The sequence below is a fragment of the Homo sapiens genome, chromosome 6, assembly GCF_000001405.40.
Source record: "Homo sapiens chromosome 6, GRCh38.p14 Primary Assembly".
In the NCBI taxonomy this organism is placed as follows: domain Eukaryota; kingdom Metazoa; phylum Chordata; class Mammalia; order Primates; family Hominidae; genus Homo; species Homo sapiens.
Window position 1 is genome coordinate 83,057,445 of NC_000006.12, and position 23,402 is coordinate 83,080,846.

At 38.9% G+C, this 23,402-nt stretch overlaps 2 protein-coding genes across 65 annotated transcripts in view, besides 4 other annotated features; one reads left to right on the forward strand and one right to left on the reverse strand.

Annotated features, from left to right (window-relative positions):
- Window positions 1-8,397, reverse strand: part of UBE3D (ubiquitin protein ligase E3D) — a 185,040-nt gene extending 176,643 nt beyond the window's left edge. For 14 of the 16 annotated variants that reach the window (NR_146809.2, NR_146808.2, NR_146807.2 and 11 more), the window contains exons 1-2: window positions 8,198-8,397; window positions 382-578 (exon numbers count right to left, since the gene is read on the reverse strand). Coding sequence is in view for 10 of the 16 variants with exons in the window: in XM_017011458.3 (XP_016866947.1) it covers window positions 382-578; window positions 8,198-8,274 (274 nt within the window). In the remaining 6 variants the exon portion in view is untranslated. Of the gene's footprint in view, window positions 1-381; window positions 579-5,708; window positions 5,802-8,197 lie in introns of all 16 variants that reach the window. The other 2 variants (NM_001350602.2, NM_001304437.2) reach the window with 2 other exon arrangements.
- Window positions 10,036-10,105: an enhancer, noted in NCBI's record as "active region_24780". NCBI's record gives its function as "activates an Ori minimal core promoter by ATAC-STARR-seq in GM12878 lymphoblastoid cells {active_cell/tissue: GM12878}" and the evidence as "EXISTENCE:reporter gene assay evidence [ECO:0000049][PMID:35858748]".
- Window positions 10,136-10,285: an enhancer, noted in NCBI's record as "active region_24781". NCBI's record gives its function as "activates an Ori minimal core promoter by ATAC-STARR-seq in GM12878 lymphoblastoid cells {active_cell/tissue: GM12878}" and the evidence as "EXISTENCE:reporter gene assay evidence [ECO:0000049][PMID:35858748]".
- Window positions 10,227-23,402, forward strand: part of DOP1A (DOP1 leucine zipper like protein A) — a 103,680-nt gene continuing 90,504 nt past the window's right edge. For 44 of the 49 annotated variants that reach the window (NR_169791.1, NR_169790.1, XM_017010559.2 and 41 more), the window contains exon 1: window positions 10,227-10,335. The gene's annotated coding sequence lies outside the window, so the exon portion shown is untranslated. Of the gene's footprint in view, window positions 10,336-10,666; window positions 10,769-23,402 lie in introns of those variants that run through there. The other 5 variants (XM_047418428.1, XM_047418431.1, XM_047418436.1 and 2 more) reach the window with 1 other exon arrangement.
- Window positions 10,456-10,725: a silencer, noted in NCBI's record as "silent region_17355". NCBI's record gives its function as "represses an Ori minimal core promoter by ATAC-STARR-seq in GM12878 lymphoblastoid cells {active_cell/tissue: GM12878}" and the evidence as "EXISTENCE:reporter gene assay evidence [ECO:0000049][PMID:35858748]".
- Window positions 13,751-13,810: an enhancer, noted in NCBI's record as "active region_24782". NCBI's record gives its function as "activates an Ori minimal core promoter by ATAC-STARR-seq in GM12878 lymphoblastoid cells {active_cell/tissue: GM12878}" and the evidence as "EXISTENCE:reporter gene assay evidence [ECO:0000049][PMID:35858748]".

A 23,402-nucleotide genomic window follows, 5' to 3' on the forward strand; every position in this document is an offset into this window, starting at 1 on the left:
TGTTGAATGAATAAATTTCCATGTAATGCTTTAAAATCAATCAGGTCTTATACAACTGCCATCTGATTTAATCTTCCCATCTGTGAGCCAGAAAATTTTACAATTAAAGAAACAAGGCAGTGGGTAAATGGGAAATCTCTATACTTTCTGCTCAATTTTGCTGTGGGTGGAAAAGAAAGAAGGAAGGGAGGGAGGGAAGAAGCCTCAGAAAGGTTAAGTAACATGTTCAATTGCATACAGCCAATAACTGGCAGAGCTGACAAAGACCCTAGAGCTTCTCAACCCCTTCACCTGGGAAAAGTTCAACTTATCAAAGGAAAAATCACCTTTGGTTTATAACAAAAAGGTAAATACAGCAGCAGAAGTGCTAATATTACTCACTTGTGCCTAATTTTGCTTGCGTCTGCAGTCGCAGGTGCAGTCCATCTCCAACAACAAACTGTAGCCCACGGCAAGAGGAAGGTACAAGCCTGACCTCTGCTGGAAGCTGGATTTCTGTGCAGCCTTCAGGGGTTTTCATCTGGAGTGAAGATGGCATTATGGAAATATTCATGGGCATACCTCCTTCTTTCGGTTCTCTGGTAATTAAAAACAAAACCCAAACAAATTATTTCTCACAATGAAAACCACATGATGAAAGAAACAAAAATGGCCAAGGATCTCTTTCTTCCTCTTCAATAGGAGCTCTAAAGTCACTGCCCCAGAAAAACAGCAGCAAGCAGATCATAAAGGAAAGCAACCTACACTAGATTTAGATCTGATCAGAGTGCCCTTCACCATCACCATAATATGCAAGTCCTGGGACAGATTTTTGGTTCTTCCTTCTGAGAAGAGCACTAAAATAATGTTTTATAGTAAATCAGAGCAAAGTACTGTTATTTCATATACAAGATTTTAATAAAGAGACCAAGATTCAGTGAAACAATGATACAAGACAAAAACCTGTCAATTTTAAGAATAAAAAGAATTAATGAAGAAAACGATACAGTGATGTATGAATATCAGGTGTGAAAGGACTTACTAATCCAATTCAGAGCAAACACAAATTACTCAGTATAGGCAATAAAGAGTAAAACACAGTCCCTGTCAAAAGCCCCCAGGCATCAAAAGTATAGAGGGGATAAAGGCATCTATGGAAATGACCCTCCTCTGAAACTGCAATACGCTTAGCAATGCAACAGAGGTACAAAGTACCATGGCTCCCTCTTAAGTGCAGACAGCAGGTCATCCACATGGTGTCAACTAAGTGCAGACAGCAAGCCATTTGCTTGAGTGTCATCTGAGTACAGAGGGTAGACCATGTGCTCAGGTGTGGATCTTGGTTAGGCCTTAGAAATCTGCCTTAGAAAATCTTATAGCTACTTTCTGGCTAGTTCCTTTTCAAAGCATATGGATCTGCACTTAGTTAGCAATACAGAATATTAAGCATCTGAGTTTTTTGCAGGGATGACAGTTTCAAACCTGAGTCAAAAGTTCAATTTCAAGAAATGGTGTTTAAGAAATAATGATCCTCTAAAACAAGAGTCAGCAACTTTATTTCTGTGAAAGACCAGATAGTAAATATTTTAGGCTTTATGAGCCATGTATGGTCTCAAAGTAGAATACATATTATACTTTTTATTTTTTAAAAAACAACCCTTAAAAAATGTAAAATCAGCAGGTCGAGGTAGCTCACTCCTCTAATCCTAGCACTTTGGGAGGCTGAGGTGGGAGGATGGTTTGAGCCAAGAAGTTTGAGACCAGCCTGGGCAACAAAGCAAGGCTCTGGCTCTACAAAAAAATAAAAAATAAAAAATCAGCTGGGTATAGTGGCACGCACCTGTAGTCCTAGCCACTCAGGAGGCTGAGATGGGGAGGATCACTTAAGCCCAGGAGGCTGCAGTGAGCCATGATCACGCCAATGCATGTCAGCCTGGGCGACAGATCAAGAACCTGTCTAAAAGAAAAAAAGATACAGAAGAAAAATCCAACTCTTAGCTCACAGGCTGTACCAAAACAGGCTGCAGGTAGGATTTGGCCAATGGGCCATAGTTCTCTGACCACTGCTCTAAAGATAACACAATGTCCATTTGCTACCTCAATGACTTTCAAACTAGACTGTGTAGAGTTGACACTTCCAAGTGCCGCAAGAGATACCACTGGGTTCCTAAGTCCCCATTGCCACCCCATCTCTGGTTTATCACATTTCTTCCCAGTCCCAAAAACTTTAGTCATTTTATAGGGCCAAGCAAGAGAAGCATCATTGCAAGGGTGGTGACACAGTGGCCCAGCACGGATTTGAGAAACTAAGCAGACTGTGGAGGGCATCCATAGGGCCAAGCAAGGGAGGCATCAGTGCAAGGGTGGTGACACAGTGGCCCAGCATGGATATGAGAAACCAAGCAGGCTGTGGAGGGCATCCACCAGGAGGACCACTCAGCAGGGGTGTCAAATCCCAAGACAGGTGAGGAGGAAATCTGAACAGGAGGTGAGGCCAGCTCAGGATGGGGTTTCAGAGCCTGTCTTAGCTCAGCTGCTATAACAAAATACTATAGATGGGTGGCTTAAACAACAGACATGGCAGAGTAAGGAAGTTCAGTGCCTCTTCCTCTTCATATAAGGACACTAATCTCATCAGGGGGGCCCCGCCCTCAAGAACTCATCTAAATCTAACTACCTCCCAAAGCCCCATCTCCTAACACCATCACTTTGGGGGTTAGGGCTTCAACATGTACATTTTGAGGGGACACAAACATTCAGTCCATAACAGGGTCCAAGCAGGTGAGGAGAGTGTCAACAATGAGCAGGGGGAGGTGGCAAAGGATGCCAGCAGACTATTAATTACATAGAGGGAGACTGACAAAATAAATAAATGCCACTAGGACAATGAGGGCCATGATTCTCACTGTGGGAGAATGGAGTTACAAAAAGAGAAAGCGAGGAAACTAGAATAGACCCTATGGTGGTGGGGCAGAATTAGAAATACCTGTGTGAAGTCATGGTTTTCAATGTTTACAAATAGATACAGTAATATTGATGGTTGTAAATGCATGTATGTACATAGGTATGTAGGCACAACCATACATAGACATCATATATAAGTCATACACACATACCCTAGTTCTGGGAGAAGCGACATCCAACAGTGATGAGTACACTTAGTGCCCAGATCTTGGTTTGTAAAGGCCATTTTCTGCTTTAAAAAACGAAATGAACAAACCAGAAACAAAGTTCCTCAGTAAAATGACTACATCCAGGGCTGTAACAGGGAAAGAATGAAATATGCCTGGAACATGTTGCTGGAACATGAAGAAATCAAAGAATGACAGGTACCTACCAAAAAAGACGCAGAAACCATCCAGAAAGGACTTCCTTGGCCACATCTGGTATAATATGAACAAAAAAGTAGCCCATTGAATAAAATAAAAAATAAAACCCACTGAGTAACCCACAGTAAGAATCATGTATCCTTACTGACACACAAATGAATAAAATGAAACTCTGATGAGGAACAGGGTATTTACATAATCTCAGAATACCTCTCCAATTACTGATTATGAAGAGAAAAAGAGTAACTTTAAGGTAGAGAAGCATGGCAGACACTATCTTACTTTAAGTGCTCAAAGTTAACATAACCAATTTGATGGAACAAAGCAAAATCATGTGCCACCTGACAGGAAGCCTCACTTCTGTTATATTCCTGCCAAAGATGCAAAATCTGAATCTTGTCTTGAAGAAACATAAGACAAATCCAAATGGAAGGATATTCTACAAAATGATTGTACTATCATCTTGCAAAGTGTCAGGACCATGAAAGTCAATGGAAAATGAGGAACTCTTCTAGATTGAAACAGACAGAGGAAGCATGACAGTGAAATGCAATGCCTTATTCTGAACTGGATTCTTCTGTTATTAGGGATATTATGTAGACAACTGGTAAAACATGAATGATGTAAGATGGTAGCAACACATTTCCCAATTGTGAGTGTTGGATGATGGTTCTTTAGGAGAATTCCTACTTTAAGACTAAGTTTGATTGACATAGTTCATACAATAATTTCATACTTGAGGCTTTCTTCACCATTGACTTGTATTCTGTCAGGTATCACAACTGCTTAAAACTATCCAATGACTTCATCTCTCACTCTAACTACAAGCTAAAGTCCTTTCGATGGTCCATAAGGCACAGTGGTATAGCAGGCCCTGCTGCTACAAGCTTTGGAGAACCTGTTGTTAAAATTCTAGGAGTTCTGCAAAGCAGGTCAACTCACCTCACCCAGTTGGTAGGCTGAAGGTCATACGTGGTGAAAGTATTCACACCAAAGAAATCAACAAATGCTTCAAATCAAGACCTTAGTTTGTCTTTTTGTTTATTTTCATGGAGAGTAGGTTATTAAACATGTACCAGCACACTGCCATAAGATCTTTTACTATGTGTTCCCCCAACTCACCCGCATCTCTCTGAACTAGGCACCCTTTCATACTCACTTTCTCTCAAAGGGAAATTGTCTCCCACCAGGTATGGCAGTTCTACACCTCACCAGTTACAGTTTAATACTCAAATGTTAGTTTCTCATTTGAAATAAAAGATTGTAACTTTTTTCTCCCCATTCCTTTTTTGTTTAATTTTTTTCTCCACTTCTATCAAATATATATTTATTTTGTATATTCTCTGCCGCCTCTTCTCTACTGCCACCATTAAACCCTATGCTCAACAAAGGCAGGTGTTTTTGTCTTTGCTGTTGTTACTGTTCATGGCTGTATTCTCAGCACTTAGAATTTGAATTTTTGGCACTAGAGTAAGAACACAATAAACATCTGTGGATTGAATAAATGAATGGCCAAAGTTTATCCCAAAATGCTAAGATATCTTAATATAAATAGATCTTTACATCTGTGAATGTAAACTTTGGAAGCCAGACTCTTTTTCACAACCCACTATGGCAGGAATTAATCCATTCCTGAGAGAGAACTCACCCAACCATCTCCATGGGAGGGCATTAATCTATTCAAGAAGAATCTGCCCTCAGGAACCACGCACCTCCCACTAGGCCCTATGTCTCAACACTGCCACATTGGGGATCAAAGTGAGAAAACATAGGGACAAAACACATCCAAACCATAGCAGTTAGGAACAAGAACACCAATATTTAAATTAACTATAAAATATACTAAACATTTTAATTAGAACACACAGATCATCAGAACAGATTTAAAATCACCCAACTATATATTTTTAAAACTAGCATACAGTTTTATGCTATTTTTAGGGAAATACAGTATTTTTACAGCTTTTTGCTTTATACAGAAAGACATAAGAAAGGTTAAAAAGGTAGAAAGGACACACTATGCAAACAGTATAGTCAACTGATTTCTCATGAAGACTGAGTTATTTTAATGGGAGAAATGATGGCCTTTTCAACTGATGGTGATAGAATAAATGAATATCCTTATACCAAAAAAAGAACTTTGATCCCTACTTCACTGCAAACACAAAAATGAATTCAACATGATCACAGATCAAAATGTGAAAGCTAAAACGATATAACTCCTAGAAAATAAACCTGCCAAAACATCTTCACAGCCTTAAGGTAGGCAAAGATTTAAGACACCAAAAAAACTAACCCTTAAGGAATAAAAAAACGATAGAGTGGACTTCATTAAAATTAAAATTTCTGTTCATCAAAGGACACTATCAAAAAAACGAGGCAGGGCATGGTGGCTCATACCTGTAATCCCAGCACTTTGGGAGTCCAAAGTGGGTGGATCGCTTGAGTCCAGGAGTTCAAGACCAGCATGGGCAATATGGTGAAACCCTATCTCTACAAAAAAATACAAAAATTAGCTGGGCATGGTGGCATGCAACTTGTATCCCAGCTACTCCAGAGGCTGAGGTGGGAGGATTGCTTGAGCCCAGGAGGTTGAGGCTGCAGTGAGCCATGATCACACCACTGCACTGTAGCCTGGGCAGTAGAGCAAGACGCTGTCTAAAAAAAAAAAAAAAAAAAAAAAAAGAAAAGAAAATGAAAAGTTAAGTCACAGATAAGAATAGTCATATATTCACAAGGCATTTATGTGAGAAAGCTCTTGTTTTGAGACAGTATAAAGAACTCTCAATTAAACAAGACAAATAATCTGATTATGGGCAAAAAAAATTAGAAGATACTTTTAAAAAGAACATATATGAATTGCTAAAAAGCAAGTGAAAAGGCACTCAACATTATTAGTCATCGGTAAAATGAAAATTAAAACCACAAGATACTATTTTACACACACTAGAATGGTTCAAACTAAAAGGACTGATAATACTAAATGTAAGTCAAAATGTAAAGTAGTTGAAACTCATTTTTTTTCTGGTTGAACGTGCAAACTGGTACAATCACTTTGGAGAACTGTTTGGCAATTTCTCACAAAGTAACATGCACATCTATCCTATGACCCAGAAATTTCACTCTTAGGTACTTACCTAAAAAGAAATGAAAATGTATGTCCAAAAAAAGATTTATACAACAGTGTTATGACAGCTGTATTCATAATAAGCAAACTCCAGAAACAAGAAAAACATCCAGCAATAGGAGAACAGATAAATGAATTGTGGTATATTCATACAATGGAAAACTTAGCAAGAAAAAGGAATGGACTACTGATATATGCAGCCACATAGATGGAACGTGAATCTGAAAAATATTATGGAAGGAATGCAGCCAGAAACAAAAAAGTATATATTGTATGAATCCATTTATAAGTAGTTCAAGAAATGGCAAAACTAAGTCCAGCAAAGTTAGGTTTCTTTTTTTTTCTTTTTATTTTTTATTTTTTGAGACGGAGTCTCTTTCTGTTGCCAGGCTGAACTGCAGTGGCGCGATCTCAGCTCACTGCAACCTCCGCCTCCCGGGTTCACTCCATTCTCCTGCCTCAGCCTCCTGAGTAGCTGGGACTGACTAAAGGTGCGCGCCACCACACCCAGCTAATTTTTGTATTTTTAGTAGAGACAGGGTTTCACCATGTTGGCCAGGATGGTCTTGATCTCTTGACCTCGTGATCCGCCCGCCTCAGCCTCCCAATGTGCTGGGATTACAGGCATGAGCCACCCGGGTACCTTGCCTAAACAAAGGAGAGTAGTCCAAGGGAACTGTGAAAGGCCCCTGCATGAGAGGAAGGGAGGGTTTGTTGTGTGTGTGTGGTTTTTGTTTTATTTTGGTAGGGTTTGGGTTCCTAATTACTCTACAAGGTGCACCAGAATTGGAGATATTTGTCCAAATTCATAAATTTTGAAAGAGAAAAAGAAATACATTCAGAGTACTATTATTCCCATTTCAAGATTGAAGAAATTCAGATTAAATTATTCTAATTTCGTGAGGAAGCTAGCATTTGAACTCAGTTCTCACGCCATATTCCAAATTGCCACACCAGATATCTGGCAGATTTAGGGAAGAGGAAAAAATTAAGCATCAATCTACCTGTGGCACCGTGTAATACCATTCTCAGGATTTTAACTTCTAACTTACTCTCTTTGAAACAGCGATCACAAAGGAATAGACAAGGGGACCACAAATCATTAAAACTGCTGTCAAACAAAATAGAGAACATTTTTCCTAAAAGTTATTTGTGTAGCGAATAACAAGTTTGACGTTCTCACTGGAAGGAAGAATATGAATAAATGAACGAGCTCCAGTAAGAAGTCTACAACCTGTCTTAGTGGTTCACTAAACTCACGTTTATTGAATGATTGTGTGGTTTCTCTGCAAAGAGCAGTTTTGGACGAAAAGACCCGAGGTTATTTACAAAACAAGAAGCTCACATAGGAACTGATCCAGTAAGGAGGATCCCGAAGAGAGACAGACAAATCATTTTTTGCATTGTTTTGTTGGAAACGCCGGGCACTGCCAACAGTGTTTTACATCACTGTTCCTCAAATTTTAATGTGCATTTGATTCCTGGAAATCTTGTTAAAATATAAGTTTTGATTCCATAAGTCTGGTGTGGAGCTGAGACCCTGAATTTCTAAAAAGCTCCCCAAAGATACCCACACTGTCAGTAGGGGTGGGAGTGGCGGAGCCGACTACAGGGGAAAGCTTCACTTTGAGTGATCGAGAGGCTCTACGCAACTGGAAAGAAGAAACTCAAAATCCCTCGTACAGAGAGAGACTCACCAGCCCCCGACCCCCGGGCAGCAGTAAAGCGAGCTGGGCACTGCGCCTAGAATCCCAGTTCTTACCCCAGGATCAGAAGCGCGCTCTGCAGCTGTCCCCGCACCTCCAGAAACACGCGCGTCTCCGCCGCAGAAGCCGCCATGGCAGGCTTCCAGTCCCAGACCGGACCAAGCTGGAGGTTCCGAGGGGCCCGGGTCAACAGGACCAGGAGAGGTTCCACGTGCGGACCAACCAGCGGCAGCCCCGCTGCGGCGCAGGCGCCTGTGCCAGATCGCAGGGCTGGCGCCGCCTACCAGCTCACAGCGCCACCTGCCGGCCGGAGAGTGCACCACCGAGAAGGCGCGTGACCCCGGAGGCCGGGGCGGGGCGCGCATTTTCAAAACCAGGCTTTGGCCCAGAGTGCTGAGAAAGGTGGGCGGCGAGAGGCTAGCTATCGCCCCACTCTGCTTCTTATGAGCGTGACTTGGCGCGTTAGCATCCCTGGAAATGACCATAAAAATCAGACCCAGGGTTCACACCTTTGGCTAGCTCGAAGGGAGGGAGATGATGGAGGCAAGTGTTACAGGTGGGCTTTGTCCCCAGGAGATGCAAGAACAGAATTCCCGGCCCCAAACCCACTTTATCTTGGTCTCTTTATGAACAAGGGTCGTTTGTTAGCCTCTATCTAAAGCGACAAAATTTTCAAGAATTGACTTGCCATTGCTTCTCAACTTAGACAGGATAGCTCCAAAATTGAAACAGGTGCAAAAATATAAGGAAGTTCTTTGTTACCTAATGCAGAAGAGTGTGGCTGAAGTCTATCAGGACTAACCATTTTTTAGGGGGTAAAAAAGGAAGATGAGAATGATTACGTATGTACAGCTCCACTATTCACTTTCACAAAAGTAAAAACTAAGAGAAGTTGGAGAAGTTTACTACCAGAAGATAGTTTTGAAAAGTTTGACACAGTAAAGAACCTGGTATAATGTAAATACTTATAATGAAGAACTATTAAAATATAAGACCGGGTAGAATTACAATAGGGCTTCTTAAAAACAAGGAGCTGCTTTTATTTATTTATTTTTTTTCGGAGTCTCGCTCTGTCGCCAAGGCTGGAGTGCAGTGGCGCGATCTCGGCTCACTGCAACCTCTGCCTCCTGGGTTCAAGCGATTCTCCTGCTTCAGCCTCCCGAGTAGCTGGGATTACAGGCGCACGCGCCACCATGCCCGGCTAATTTTTCTGTTTTTGGTAGATCCGCCCACCTTGGCCTCCCAAAGTGCTGAGATTACAGGTGTGAGCCACCATGCCCAGCCTAAACCATAAATAAATTCTAAATAAATAAATCCTGTCATATATTTTAAGATAATAGCTTGACAATTTTTCTAAAATCAGTATTTGGGGTGATTAAAGTTTATTATGTTGATGCACAAATTATTATATCTATCACAATAATTTGAAGTTATAGATGGAAGCAACAACTCACTTAAAAAAATAAAGTTTACTATTATTTGGTCTCAAATAATTCATCTATTTGAAGGATGATGATTTCAACTCTTCATATCTTCCACCTTTAGTACCCGAGGCTATTGAATGCTTAAATATTGACACATTATATTGAAATATACAACTTCCGTAGCACAACTTACTCTTTATAATTGTTTTGTTAGCTTAAAAGATTTTTATATATTTAGTTACGTATTTGTAAAAACTTTCATTTTTTTACGGTATGGTGTTGGCAAAACGGTGCAATTTACCTTGGAGTAACTAGATATGATTGATAGAGCTCTAGACTCAAAATAGTTCCAAATCTGACACCAACTACTTGTCTCCTAACTTCACAAGTCTCCTAACCTCTCTGGGATGCAGGTTACTCATATGAAATATTGAGAAACTATTCAAATAATATTTAAAAGCTGTTTTCAGTTCCTATTATCTCTTCAAATGAAAACATCTGCTAACCCCCTTTCTAGCCACTCCTGAAATTGGTAGCCATGGCCGCTTCCCGCGACAGTCCACTTGAGGGCGCTGTGGCAACAGCTAGCGCCGGGAGGCAGGAAGCCGATCGGGGGCGGGGATCGAAGGCCTCAGACGTCGACGCCGGCGTGGGCGCGAGCACGGTGCACTCTGGGAGCTGTCACTAGGCCCTTCGGCTCCCGGTCTCGGTGTAGCTGCCGTGGTTGCCAGGAGAGCTGCGCCGGCGAGAAGCGGCCGAGCCAGCAGCAGGTAAAAGCGTCCCTGCCCCCAGTGCGGCCGCTAGGCTGGTAGCCGGCTCCGAGCATCCTTCTCGGCCCGGCTAGGTCCTGAGCCGCGGGGACGCCTTGCGAGTCTGACTGCTGTGGCGTCGGGGGTGTTGCCGCTCCGGCCCCGCCAGGAGCTGCGAAGCTGGTCGGCCGCCCTCTGGTTTACGGGGAGTCGGGAGCTGCGCGGGGACTGGAGGGCCAGGGCTGGGGCCGGGGCCTGGGCCGGGCAGAGGCGCGAGGGCGGCCCCAGGTGAGGGAGGCCGGAGGCGGGGCCGGGGAGCCGGGGACAGGTCCCGAGCCTCCCCTGCTGGGGCGGAGCGGTGCGCAAGGCTGGGGCAGAGGTCGCACCTGTGCGATGGAGGCGTGCGGAGTACCCTCTTTGTTGAAGGAATCGAGGCGTTGTGCCTTCTCGGCTGGTGGGTTCTTTTAGCATTGAGGAGACACGTAGGCCCGCGATGGTTCATGTTCTCCGTGGGGCTTAGAAAGGAGTACCGAAGTTTATTAAGAGGAAGTCAGAAGAGTCAAACGGGTGTTGTTAACAATTATCACCTTTGATTCCTAAGCCTTTTAAAGTTGCAACATAACAATAGTCACTTGTTCGGGCCTCCTCCATTCCTGTACCCTGAGGGGGGCGGGGAATGGCACACAACTATTTTTCTTAAGCTAAGTAAATTGTGTTTGAACATTTTTACACTATCTTAGAGTTCTATGGCGTTTGAGAAATGTAAAGATTGGGAAAATGACTTCGACTCCAGCTAAAGCAGTCAAAAAAAATGATAATTACCAAAAATGTAGGAAACTGTTTGCCTGACAAATAGGCCCTGAACTGTAGAGAGAGAAAAATCTGTTTTGATGTTGTTGGCCATTGTCTATGCAGACATAAGTTCTCACATTTTAATTTTGTTTGTGGGTATTAATATGGTCTACAGTGAATAACATACGTCGGCATTATGTGCTAAGTAACTCACCACCTGATAGATAACACAGTGATTTAGGTGGGCCGACTGAAGTTATGAGTAAATTAAAACCACGAGTAGTCTAAATGCTTTATTTTAGTGATTACTTTCGGCCACAACTGATAACTAAATCATTCTCTGTAATTGTTAAGCAGTAGCAAATCTCCACGTGGGCTTGATTATTAGGTACCTAGTGCTGAAGGAACTAAAAACACCTGATTTAATACACAAACCAGAAAATGTGACACCATAACCCAAATCTTAAATGTAAGGTAAGTGTTGTCAGTTAAATGTTTGTATACATTCAAAGAAGTCCTATTTTGTAGTTAAAGTAAAGGAGTGAGCTCTGGCCTGGGAATGAAGAGATTAGATTCAAGTGCTTTAATCTGCTACTAACCAGGTGTGATCTCCAGGCTTCGGTTTTGTCATTGTTTAAGGAAATTTGAAAAGACCAGGGTTTTCCAAACTGATGTTTCCCCCAGAACAGTGTTCTAAAACCATTTAATAGGCTTACTTTCCCCAAAGCAGTGTTCAATGGCAAATAATTTGGGAGCACACTAGGTTAAACTAGGTTTAACTTTTTTGCTTATAAAGGCAGGACTCTTCAAAACCTTTACTGTTATGCTGATACATGTAAATCTCCAGAAGGTTATCCTAGCATTCCCAAATTTACCTGATCTATTTTCTCATGGCCAAATGGTTAACAACTCTTAGAATATAATTACATAGAATATAAATTTAAAAACTGCTGTACTTAAGCTGAGTCCTCTTCAACTGTAAAGGTCCATGCATTAGGCTTATTTTTTGGCTGTCATTTTAAACTTTTTGGAGCATGAAGATCTAGTGGCAACTCACTTGTATAAAAAAAATTATATTTTTCTTAGTAAAATATTAATGATACACTTAAGTTCCCATGAGTCTTAATGCTTTAATTATTGGCAGAAGACTTATCTTATTCTTTCTGGTTTTTTGACTTTTTTAAAACCATAATTCATGTTTTGAATTTGATGGTGGAGTGTAGTTATTGATTTTATTCAAAATGGCATTTTGAGGTTCCAACAAGTGAAGACTTGTTGATAATGGCATCACTTTTGCTGTGATGATTTCTCCTTATAGTCATGCATTCCTAAAATGAAATTATGGTAGAAGCCACCCAAAATGTGCTTACTGTGTAATAACTACCTATTTTAAGAGCTTATATCATGGAAAAGAGCTAAAGGCTAAAACACAAATTTTGAGACAGTTACTTCTAAATTGCTTTACAAACAGGATGTGTGCTGAACACAATCTTAAACTGTTTTGCTAAAGTCTGTTAAGTGTCACTAGTACACCACCAGTGTGGATATTCTGTTCATTCTTTATTACTTTCTTAGGGTGAATGCTGTTAATGCACAATTTTGCTTGCAGATAGGAGAGGTGGGAAGAGAACATGTAATTTTAATAGATAAGCGTTAATTCAGGTAAATTATCTCCCTGGAATAAAACTATTAAGTAGAAATATAAAGCTAATATTTTTTGTGTAATAGTTAACAGTTTTTATTGAGAATTGTATGAAAATATGATACCCTTGTCTTTAACTGGCGGTTTCCCTTTTTCCTTTATTGTATTTACTTCCTCCTCTCCAAGCTATCCAAGCCTGAAATCTCAATGACCTTTCATTGCATTGGTCAATTATATAGTATCAAATTTATTAAGGAAAAATTTATATATACTGATGTACATTCATTTAAGTGTACATTTCAATAAGTTTTAGTAGATATATATGCACCCGTGTAGCTACCACCACAATCAAGATTTGGAAGATGCCACCACTCAGGCACATATAGTTATACTTTTACTCTCTGAGAATGTTCTTCTGTTTCTGAGTGTCTAAATTATACCTTTAAGACCTAGCTCAAATGCCACCCTGTGAACCTTTTTTTGATTACCTCATTTTGAATTAATTTCCTCCTCTTCTGACTTTCCTTTTCACATTTTTTTTTTTCATCATTCTTCTCTGTTCTTTGTGGTGGCTAACCCAGTGGCAAACATATAGCAGGCACTTATTTGTTGACCAAATGGATTAATGTAATATTTCCTCAACTTCAGTCTTTGTGATATCATCTTCAAAATTTTGGCCATATCTTCCTGTTTGGCATACTTCCTGTTTAGTTATTAATATTTCTTTATATCAATGTGATTATTAAAGTAATATTTTAAAGGAAACTTGGAATAACTTTGAGTAAAAAGCAGGTGGCACTTGCCATAAACAGAAGGTGGACGTATACGTAAAAATAATGAAAATCAAAGTCCCCTTAATTTCTAACTAGAAACTATTGCCTGCAGGAGGCTCTAAGCCTAAAACTTGCCCTTTGTTTAAAAGTGAGATTGGCAAGAATTTCAGTGGTGTTAACATCTTGGCACCAAACTGAGACTTTCTTCTTGATACAGTCAGAGGAACTGAAAGAGAATGAAGAGGAAGTAACCTTTTTTTTTTTGAAATGGAGTCTCACTCTGTCATCCAGGCTGGAGTGCAGTGGAGTGAGCTCACTGCAACCTCTGCCTCCCGGATTCAAGGTATTCTCCTGCCTCAGCCTCCTGATTAGCTGGTATTACAGGCACCCACCATCACACCGGGCTAACTTTTGTATTTTTAGCAGAGACAGGGTTTCGCCATGTTGGTCACGCTGGTCTCAAACTCCTGACCTCAGGTTATCCGCCTCGCCTCTGCCTCTCAAAATGCTGGGATTACAGACATGAGCCACTGTGTCCGGCCCCTCCTCATTTAATTCAGTGTCACTTAGCTCTGCCCTCGGATCTTATAAAATCATCCCACGTCTCCATTTGGTGGCCCAAATTTTTGTAGATACTAAGTTAATCAGTGCTTGAAAATTCCTTAGAATTTTATCTGTGCAATAATTGAGAAACAAAGCCTTAATTGTAAATTAAAAAGTGTACTACAATTACCTTAAAAAATATAGTAAAAAAAGTTACTTTAAAAAATAGTACAAAGATAATATTCTTGAATCAGATATGTCTTTATTTTTTCAAAAATGTTCTGAATGTTACTGATGTTACATCCTACTAGGGTACATTAGCCTTAAGATAAACATTTGAATCTAAAATCTAAATCAGAAAACAAGTGGGAACCTGTTATATGACAAAGTGATGACTGTTGATTCAGGAGTGATGAAATGTTAATATAATGTTTATCTGGCAAAGCTCCTGTATGAGTAGATGAGGTAATAAAGTTAAAATAATCTCCTATCTCCTTTAGTTTTTTCTCTCATCACTTAAGTTTTATATAGCTATATTTTTATATTTTAATCCTGCCGAAGACATTTCTAGACTTTTTCCTCCTGAGATGACACCTTCTACTCTCCTGTGGAAGGAGTTTCGTATGAACATACTGGAAAATAAATTCCCTGCTCTTATTTTGTAAAATACATTTTGTATTTAAAGTTGCTGGAGTTACTTATAGGCATATATCCATATTATGAGCCTAACATTTGCTGTTATTTCGTGTTCATGAACAAAGAGCTTGAGTAAATAGACCCTTTCATTTGGTGTTAACGGTTTCCAAAAAAAAAAAATTAACCTGAGTGGTGATAAGTTTATCAGTACACACAATCATTTGCTACTCACCAAGAGGTCAGATTCCTGGGTTTTGTTTTTGTTTTTGAGACGGGGCTCTGTAGTCCAGGGTGGAGTGAGATTCCTGTTAATATAAGGTTCTGGGATACAACCTAAAAAATTGGAAGTAAGTAAAGAGCCATCTTGGATGCATAGCATTTATTTCACAAACAAGTGGTTTCTTTCCTGCTTCTCACTGTAAAATAAGGGAGCAGTACAGAAGCAATATAGGTAAATTGTCATCATTTAGAAGTGACAGCTGACTATAATCAGAAAATCATAAAAATACTGCAATCTTAGTCCTTTGAATTATACAGGTAAATAGCCCTACATTTTTCAGTTGCTTTTGATTGTGCTATTATATTATGAAAAGGTACTATAAAGTATCAGCTACCTGAAACCTTTAGAATATGTGTTATTTTTATCGAATATTCTACATAGCTAGAATTTTTTTATATACCCCAAATGCCATCGCAGAGCACTGATTATGCTTTTTGCTTCTGTTCAGAATGATGCAGCTGGCACAGTGGCTTTTCCATACATGCTTAACAGTTTAAAAATTTCCTGGAGAGGTTTTTCTCCTGCTGGCCTGTGAAAAAATAGAACATAGTACAGTACTTGCTTTAAAGTTAGTCTCTGACATTTTGGAAGAAATAAGTGTTTGAATGACTTCCATATTATATACAGCATTACCACCAAGTAGCAGTTCACTTTTTTTTCCTTTTTCTTTTTTTTTGAGACAGACTCTCACTCTTTTGCCCAGGCTGGAGTGCAGTGGCATGATCTCGGCTCACTGCAACCTCTACCTCCTGGGTTCGAGCGATTCTCCTGCATCAGCCTTCCAGGTAGCTGGGACTACGGGCATGTGCCACCATGCCCAGCTAATTTTTATTGTATTTTTTAAATAGATACAGGGTTTCACCATGTTGGCCAGGCTGGTCTCTATCTCCTGACCTCAGGTGATCTGCCCGCCTTGGCCTCCCAAAGTGCTGGGATTACAGGTGTGAGCCACCACACCTGGCCAGCAGTTCACTTTTGAGCCTGAATGAGGGGTTCCAGAAACAAAATATGGCCTCTGACATTTTTTGGAAGGCTGTCCTCAAAGCACTGTTCCCCAAACCTACCTGATTCCATAACTTGAGGCTGCCAATTTTACGTAATCTGATAACTTTCATTATGTTTTAAGTTTCAGAGATTGTGGTTGAAAAAATGAAAATATTATTTGGGAATAAACTGTTGTTAAGTTATCTATTGCTACATGACAAATTATCTCAAAATGTAGTGATTTAAAACAGTATCTCACACAATTTTTGTCAGAGGGGATAGGGAAGTTATTTGGCTTGAGTTTCTTATGAGGTTGCAGTCTGATTGCAGTTGGAGAACTCACTTTCGAAGTGGCTCACTCATGACTGGCAAGGCAAGTTGTTTCTGGCTTTTAGAGGAATGATGTAGTTCCTCCCCACATGGGCCTCTTCACAGGTCTGCTTTGAGTGTCCTTATGACATAGAGGCCAACTTGCCCCAGAATGAGTGATTCTAGAGATATCAAAGTGGGAGCTACAGTGTCTGTTATGGCCTTTTACTTCTGCAGTGTTATATTGATTATTCTCACAGGCCAGCAGTGATTCCATGTGGTAAGGAATTGCCCAAGAGCATGAATATCAGGAAGTGAGGATCATTGAAACCCATGTTAGAAGCCAGTATGTGAATATCTATCTAAATCGTAAACAGTACCTATTTACTCAGTATGCAGTATATACACAGCTCATTGTGATTTTGGAAAGAATATTCAAAGATTAACTTAAAATGCACTTGAAAATTAATGTACCAAACAAATCAAGCACTTTGACAAATTCTTAGTCTCCATGGTCCTTTGGGAGGGGGGTATGATTCTGAGTTGAGACGTAGCACTTAAGATACAGATTTTATTTATTTATTTATTTATTGTTATTTATTATGAGATGAAAGGAGGAAATACCACATTTTACACAGTTGCTATTTCATGTTCTTTAGGGACATTATTCATTCACCCTTTATTACCATAAATGGGGCATAATTCACATGATTTTAAAAGTATAAGTATACAGATAGTCCCCAAATCATGGTAGTTTGACTTTATGACTTTTCAACTTTACACTCGTGCAAAAATGATACACATCCAATAAAAACTCGACTTCTAGTATCCATACAACCATTTTGATTTCTCCTTCCAGTATAGTATTTAATAAATTACATGAGCTATTCAACACTTTATTATAAAACACGCTTTATATTGGGTGATTTTTGCCTAACTATAGGCTAATATAGGTGTTCTGAGCACATTTAAGGTAGGCTAGGCTAAGTAATGATGTAAATTATAGTGAATCAACGTGAATGTACTTAACACTACTGAACTATACACTCAGTGGTTAAGATAGTAAATTTTGGCCAGGCTCAGTGGCTCATTTCCATAATCCCAACACTTTGGAAGGCCAAGGCCAGAGGATTGCTTGAGCCCAGCAATGCTAAATGAAATGTTGAATACATTTCAACTTACGGTATTTTCAACTTAGGATGAGTTTGTGTGGATATAAGCCATAAGTCAAGGAATATCTGTATGATGAAAAGACTCCTTTTCCTGGGCCCTCATCCATCCAGTTACCACCTGTCTCCTAGGAAGTAATGTTTAGTTTCGTTGTGTGTTCTTTCAGATATGTATTGTACATATGCAAATTAATATATATTTTCCCTCTTTTAATATGATAGCATATTATAAACACTATTCTGTGCCTTGCTTCTTTTAGTTAATATATGTTAGCACTTTAAAAATCAATGTATACACTTAATTCATTATTTTTACCAACTGAGAATATTCTATTGTCATTCAATTTTTATAATGTTTATTGACTGTTTACCGTGGGTCAGGCACTTTTCTAGGAGCTGGGGATTTGAGAGCTAAAATGACAGATGAGGTCTCTCTGTTATAGCGATTACCACCCCTGGAGTCACAGTTCAATTACAATAAAGCAAGGTAAGTTCTATGATAGAGGAAGTATAGCATGTCATGGGAGTTCACAGGAAGGAGGTGTATATGTGAGTGTTAGGGGAATGGTGGAATGGTCCTGGAAGACTTCCCAAAAGGGATAAAATCTGAGACCTGAAGGATAAGTAGGTACTTGTCAGGTCAAGTTAGGATTTAGTGTTTGAAACAGAAGGAATAAAAGGGTGGCTCTCAAAAAATGCATTTAAAAATTATTGCAAAGCTATAGTAATCAAAATAGTATGGTACTGGCCAAAACAGACATATAGATCAATGAAATTGAATGGAGAGCCCCGAAATAAACACTAGTTTATACGGTCCAACAGTGTTTGACAAGGGTGCCAAGACGACTCAGTCAGGAAAGGATAGCCTCTTCACCAGATAGTGTTGGGAAAAACTGATATCCCTATGTGAAAAAATGAAGTTGTATATCTTATACCATACACAAAGATTAACACAAAATGGATTAAAGACCTAAAGATAAGACCTAAAACTATAAAGCTCCTAGAAGAAAACATAGGAGAAAAGCTTTATGACATTGAGTTTGGCAGTTTCTTGGATATGACAGCAAAAGCACAGACAATAAAAGCAAAAATAAAAAATAGGATTGTATTAATCTTAAAACTTTCTGTGCATCAGAGAGTACAAGAGAGTGAAAAAGCAAACTATGGAAAGGGAGAAAATATTCATAAATCATGTGTTTGATAAGAGGCTAATACCCAGAATATATAAAGAAAGAGCTACTCTTACAGTTCAATAACAACAAAGTAACTGAATTTTAAAATGGGCCAAGGACTTAAATAGACATTTTTCCAAAGATGATATATAAATGGCCAGCAAACATATGAAAAGATATTGAGGCCGGGTGTGGTGGCTCAGGCCTGTAATCCCAGCACTTTGGGAGGCCGAGGTGGGTGGATGATGAGGTCAGGAGATTGAGACCATCCTGGCCAACATGGTGAAACCCGGTCTCTACTAAAATACAAAAAATTAGCTGGGCGTGGTGGTGCACACCTGTAGTCCCAGCTATTCAGGAGGCTGAGGCAAGGGAATCGCTTGGACCTGGGAGGTTGAGCCAAGATCGCACCACTGCACTCCCGCCTGGAGGCAGAGCAGACTCCATCTCAAAAGAAAAAAAAATGTTGAAGATCACTAATCATTAGATAAATACAAATCAAAACCACAAAGAGATACCTAACCTTACACCCATTATGATGGCTACTATTAAAAAAAAAATAGTTTTGGCAAGGATGTAGGGAAATTAGAAACTTCTTGGGCACTGTTGGTAGAGATGTAAAATGGTTCAGCCCCTGTGGAACACAGTATGGCCATTCCTCAAAAAAAGTTTAAAAAATTACTCTCTAAATGCAGCAATCCCGCTTTTGGATATATCCAAAAGAGTTGAAAGCAGGATCTGGAAGAGGAATTTGCACACCCATGTTGATAGCAGCACTACTCGTGATAATCAAGAGGTAGAAACAACCTATGTGTGCATCTATGGATTAATGGATAAGCAAAATACAGTATCTACATAGAATGAAATATTACTAAGCCTTAAAAAAGGAAATTCTGACACATGCTATAACATGGATGAATCTTGAGGACATTATGCTGAGTGAAATAAGCCAGTTATAATAAAAAGACCCATACAATATGGTTCCCCTTACATGAGGTATCTAAAGTAGTCAAATTCATAAAAGCAGAAAATAGAATTGTTGTTTAATGGGTATAGAGTTGCAGTTTGCAAGATGAAAAGTTCTGGAGATTGGTTGCACAATAATGTGAATGTACTTAACACTACTGAACTGTACACTCAGTGGTTAAGATGGTAAATTTTGGCCAGGCTCAGTGGCTCATTCCTGTAATCCCAACACTTTGGAAGGCCAAGGCCAGAGGATTGCTTGAGCCCAGTTGTTCAAAACCAGCCTGGGCAACATAGCAAGACCCCTTAAAAAAAAGATGGTAAATGTTATATGCTTTAAAAACAATTTAAAAAGGACTATAGGCTGGGCACAGTGGCTCATACCTGTAATCCCAGCACTTTGGGAGGCCAGGGCAGGAGGATCGTTTGAGGCCACAAGTTCAAGACCAACCTGGGCAAGAAAGTAAGACCCTGTCTACAAAAAAAAATTTTTTTTTTTTAATTAGCTAGGCATGTTGGCACCCACCTGTAATCCTGGCTACTCAGGAGGCTAAGGCAAGAGGATTGCTTGAGCCCAGGAGTTAGAGACGTCAGTGAGCCATGATTGTGCCACTGCATTCCAGACTGGGTGATAGAATGAGACCTTGTCTCAAAAAAATAAAAAGGACTTTAAACTTCTAGAAACATGAAGCATATGTACATTTTTTACATTTTATACTGTCATGTAAGCCATGTTTCTAAATCAGGGGTGTCCAAACTTTTGGCCTCCCTGGGCCACATTGGAAGAAGAATTGTCTCAGGCCACACATAAAATACACTAACACTTAACTATAGCTGATAAGCTAAAAAGGTCCATGCATAAATCTCTTAATGTTTTAAGAAAGTTTACGAATTTCTTGGGCCACATTCAAAACTGTTCTGGGCTGTGGGTTGGACAAGCTTATTCTGAATATTGAAAAAGATACTGATTTAAAAATTAGGTCAAAGGGGTTGAATCACTAGGTATCATGCAGAGACATAGCATTTTGAGTTTGAGTATAATTTAATAGAAAATTAAATTCTATCCACAAAATTAATAGCATGTGTAAAGGCACTGAGATGGGAGGGAGCAAGTCTTGAACAGTGGACAATTGCCTAGGTTTTGCTTAGCTGGGACAGAAGTGTGAATAAGATTGAAGGAATGGGTCTATTTTATGAAGGCTTTATATGGCTAACAGCTTGCATTTCATGTCTAAGAAAATGAATATCACAATTATAGCAGTAATAAGAGCACTTCTTATACGCTAAGTTAACACTGAGCTAAAGAGCTTTCCAGGGATTATCAAATGTACTTTTCTGAGCTTCCAGCAGGGAACATGCTCCACCTGCTTTTTCCTGTGTAAAATTAATTGGCTCTTGGAGAAGGTGAAGGTAGTGAAAATAGGTTGTTGACATAGTCCAGGTATAAAATAGGCATGAATTAAAGACCATTCTGAAAAATGCACATTTGTAGACTTTATTAAACTGCTCCAAATGAAATCGCACAAGTACAAACTTGTGTAATTAGGAAGATGATGGTGCTGTTGACAGTAATGAAGGAAAACAAGGAAATTCAGAAAATAATAGCAGTGCTTGACAGACTTTACAGCATTTCTTGGAGTGATATTCTGACAACAGAGGTACTGTGAAATGGAAAGTGAGGAGAGGTGTAGTAACAGTTTATGGTTTATCAGTATTTTGGAGGGTGCCTATGTTTTGTAGAGATTTTTTACAATAATTAAGCAATACCTTATTTTGGTTCTTATTCTATTACGTGCTTCAGAATCTGCAAAAATATCTAGAGTTAATTCTCTCTTACAGAATTAACACCTCAGCAAAGTTATTTTGTTCTTTCATGATGAGCATTATTAATATTGTTGTTTTGTTACCATCTTAACCTTAAAACATGAGAGGGGATGGACATTGAAGGGTTGTAGGAGCTGGGGGAAGGTCTGCTGTAGGCTGTACCCCATTTTTCTCTGTAAAGTATCTTGATATCCTCAACATTAATTCTAGTTTACTTTGTCCATCAAGGGAGTTAACCCTTGTGCAAGGCTACTTTCTGTCACCATTCTTTCACAGATTTTGGAAACTGATGTGCACAGATACATGCATGGTCTGTGTCCAGGGTGAACCCTTTTTTAAAAAAGCATCTTTAAATAAAAGTACTCAGCTAAAGTGTTGGTGACTTCCTGTGTAATATTTTGATCTTATCTTTTAAATACATAGGCATGATTGAATTTGCATCTCAGTGAATTTTTTTGCATGTGTGCTTTTTCTTATGATTTTACTTTTGGAACAGTCTTAATAAAATGGGCAAAGAAAAACGTTAAAATTCCATGGGATTTTTTTTAATGGGAAAAATTTGTTTCTACTGGCTGTGATTAAAATTTGTTTACAGATATTCAGTTAAATTGGAACACACTAGGAAGTATAGAAAAATGTTTGGCTAGTATGTATAGTACGGCATTGTTATGTTAACTTATGTAAAAACCAGTCTTTATTTGAAAATCCAACTCTGTAGTAAGTTAATAGCATACTATTTATTTTTTAAATGCTGAAAACGTTAAATTACTAATTTTTAAATATATTGGTTAGATTTTATTTTGCAAATAATGATTTGATTAACTTAATATGGGTTTAATTATGCTGTAAAAATTATTTTTGCTTATTTCACTTTATTTCTAGTAGTATGTTTTAGCATATGTAAAAGTTTAAGCAAAATCATTGTCATTAAATGAAGAATGATAGCTACAAATAAAGATACTTTGAGAAAGGTACTTTCTGATGAAAATTTATGTTTCAAATAAGCTGGAAAGAAATACATGGTGGGATAGTTAACAGTTAGTTATTCCTCATCTTGCGTTTCACCTCTCTAATCATTCTGAATAGCAATGCATTCATTTTTATCATTATTCTCATGTCTTACCTTCTGCTGTATATAAAAAATAAGCCATGTTTTCTTTCTTCTTCCAAACTATTAATAAAAGCAAAACAGAATGTGGTCAATCTAGATAATTTAGATGTTCTTTAAGTGTACTATTCTGATATTTACTCTTAGGCTGATTTTTTTTCCCCTGCCATCTAAAATGTTTGTTTCATTTCCCCCTACCCAATCAATGTATACACAGTGAAATCAAACATTTTAATGTTAGGAAAAACAAAACATTAGAAAGATATGTTTGAAAAAAGCAGATATATCCTAAAAGCAAAATTTAGTTGTTTGGGATTCTGTTTTACATTATCCACACAACTACTTCTTTCTATAGATACTGTTAATACAATGATATATGACTAAACCAGAATATTAAACTATCAGTGATGTTCACAGGTTTCATCAAAATAAGGAAAACTTCCTTGATATATTTGTTTTCTGAACTATCATTTTGTCCCCTCATAACTAATAACCCTCAGGAATTATATCTCCCTTTGCCAAGAGAAAAAACCTGTCTTTAGTAGGTCCTATAAAGCATCCCTTAGGTGCTTAATAATAGAATTTGTGCACTAAAGCATACTGCTAATCCAGCAAGAATCCTGTCATCAGCCCTGCACATCCTAAATTTGGGGACAGCCACATCTGTAATACTGTTTTTGGATGTGTAACCCAACCTGCAGTACCTCTGTAGTATTTCATCCCACTTCAGAGCATTTTTACCTCTTAGGAATTATTTTCTAGGGAGGAATAGATTGTTGTCTTTTATGTTCTGTATATAGTTCCCCTTGTATATAGGTTCACCACGGCCATTTATTGAATTAAAATCCCTGTTTTATAATGTCTGTGTCACCCAAAACAATCTACAGATT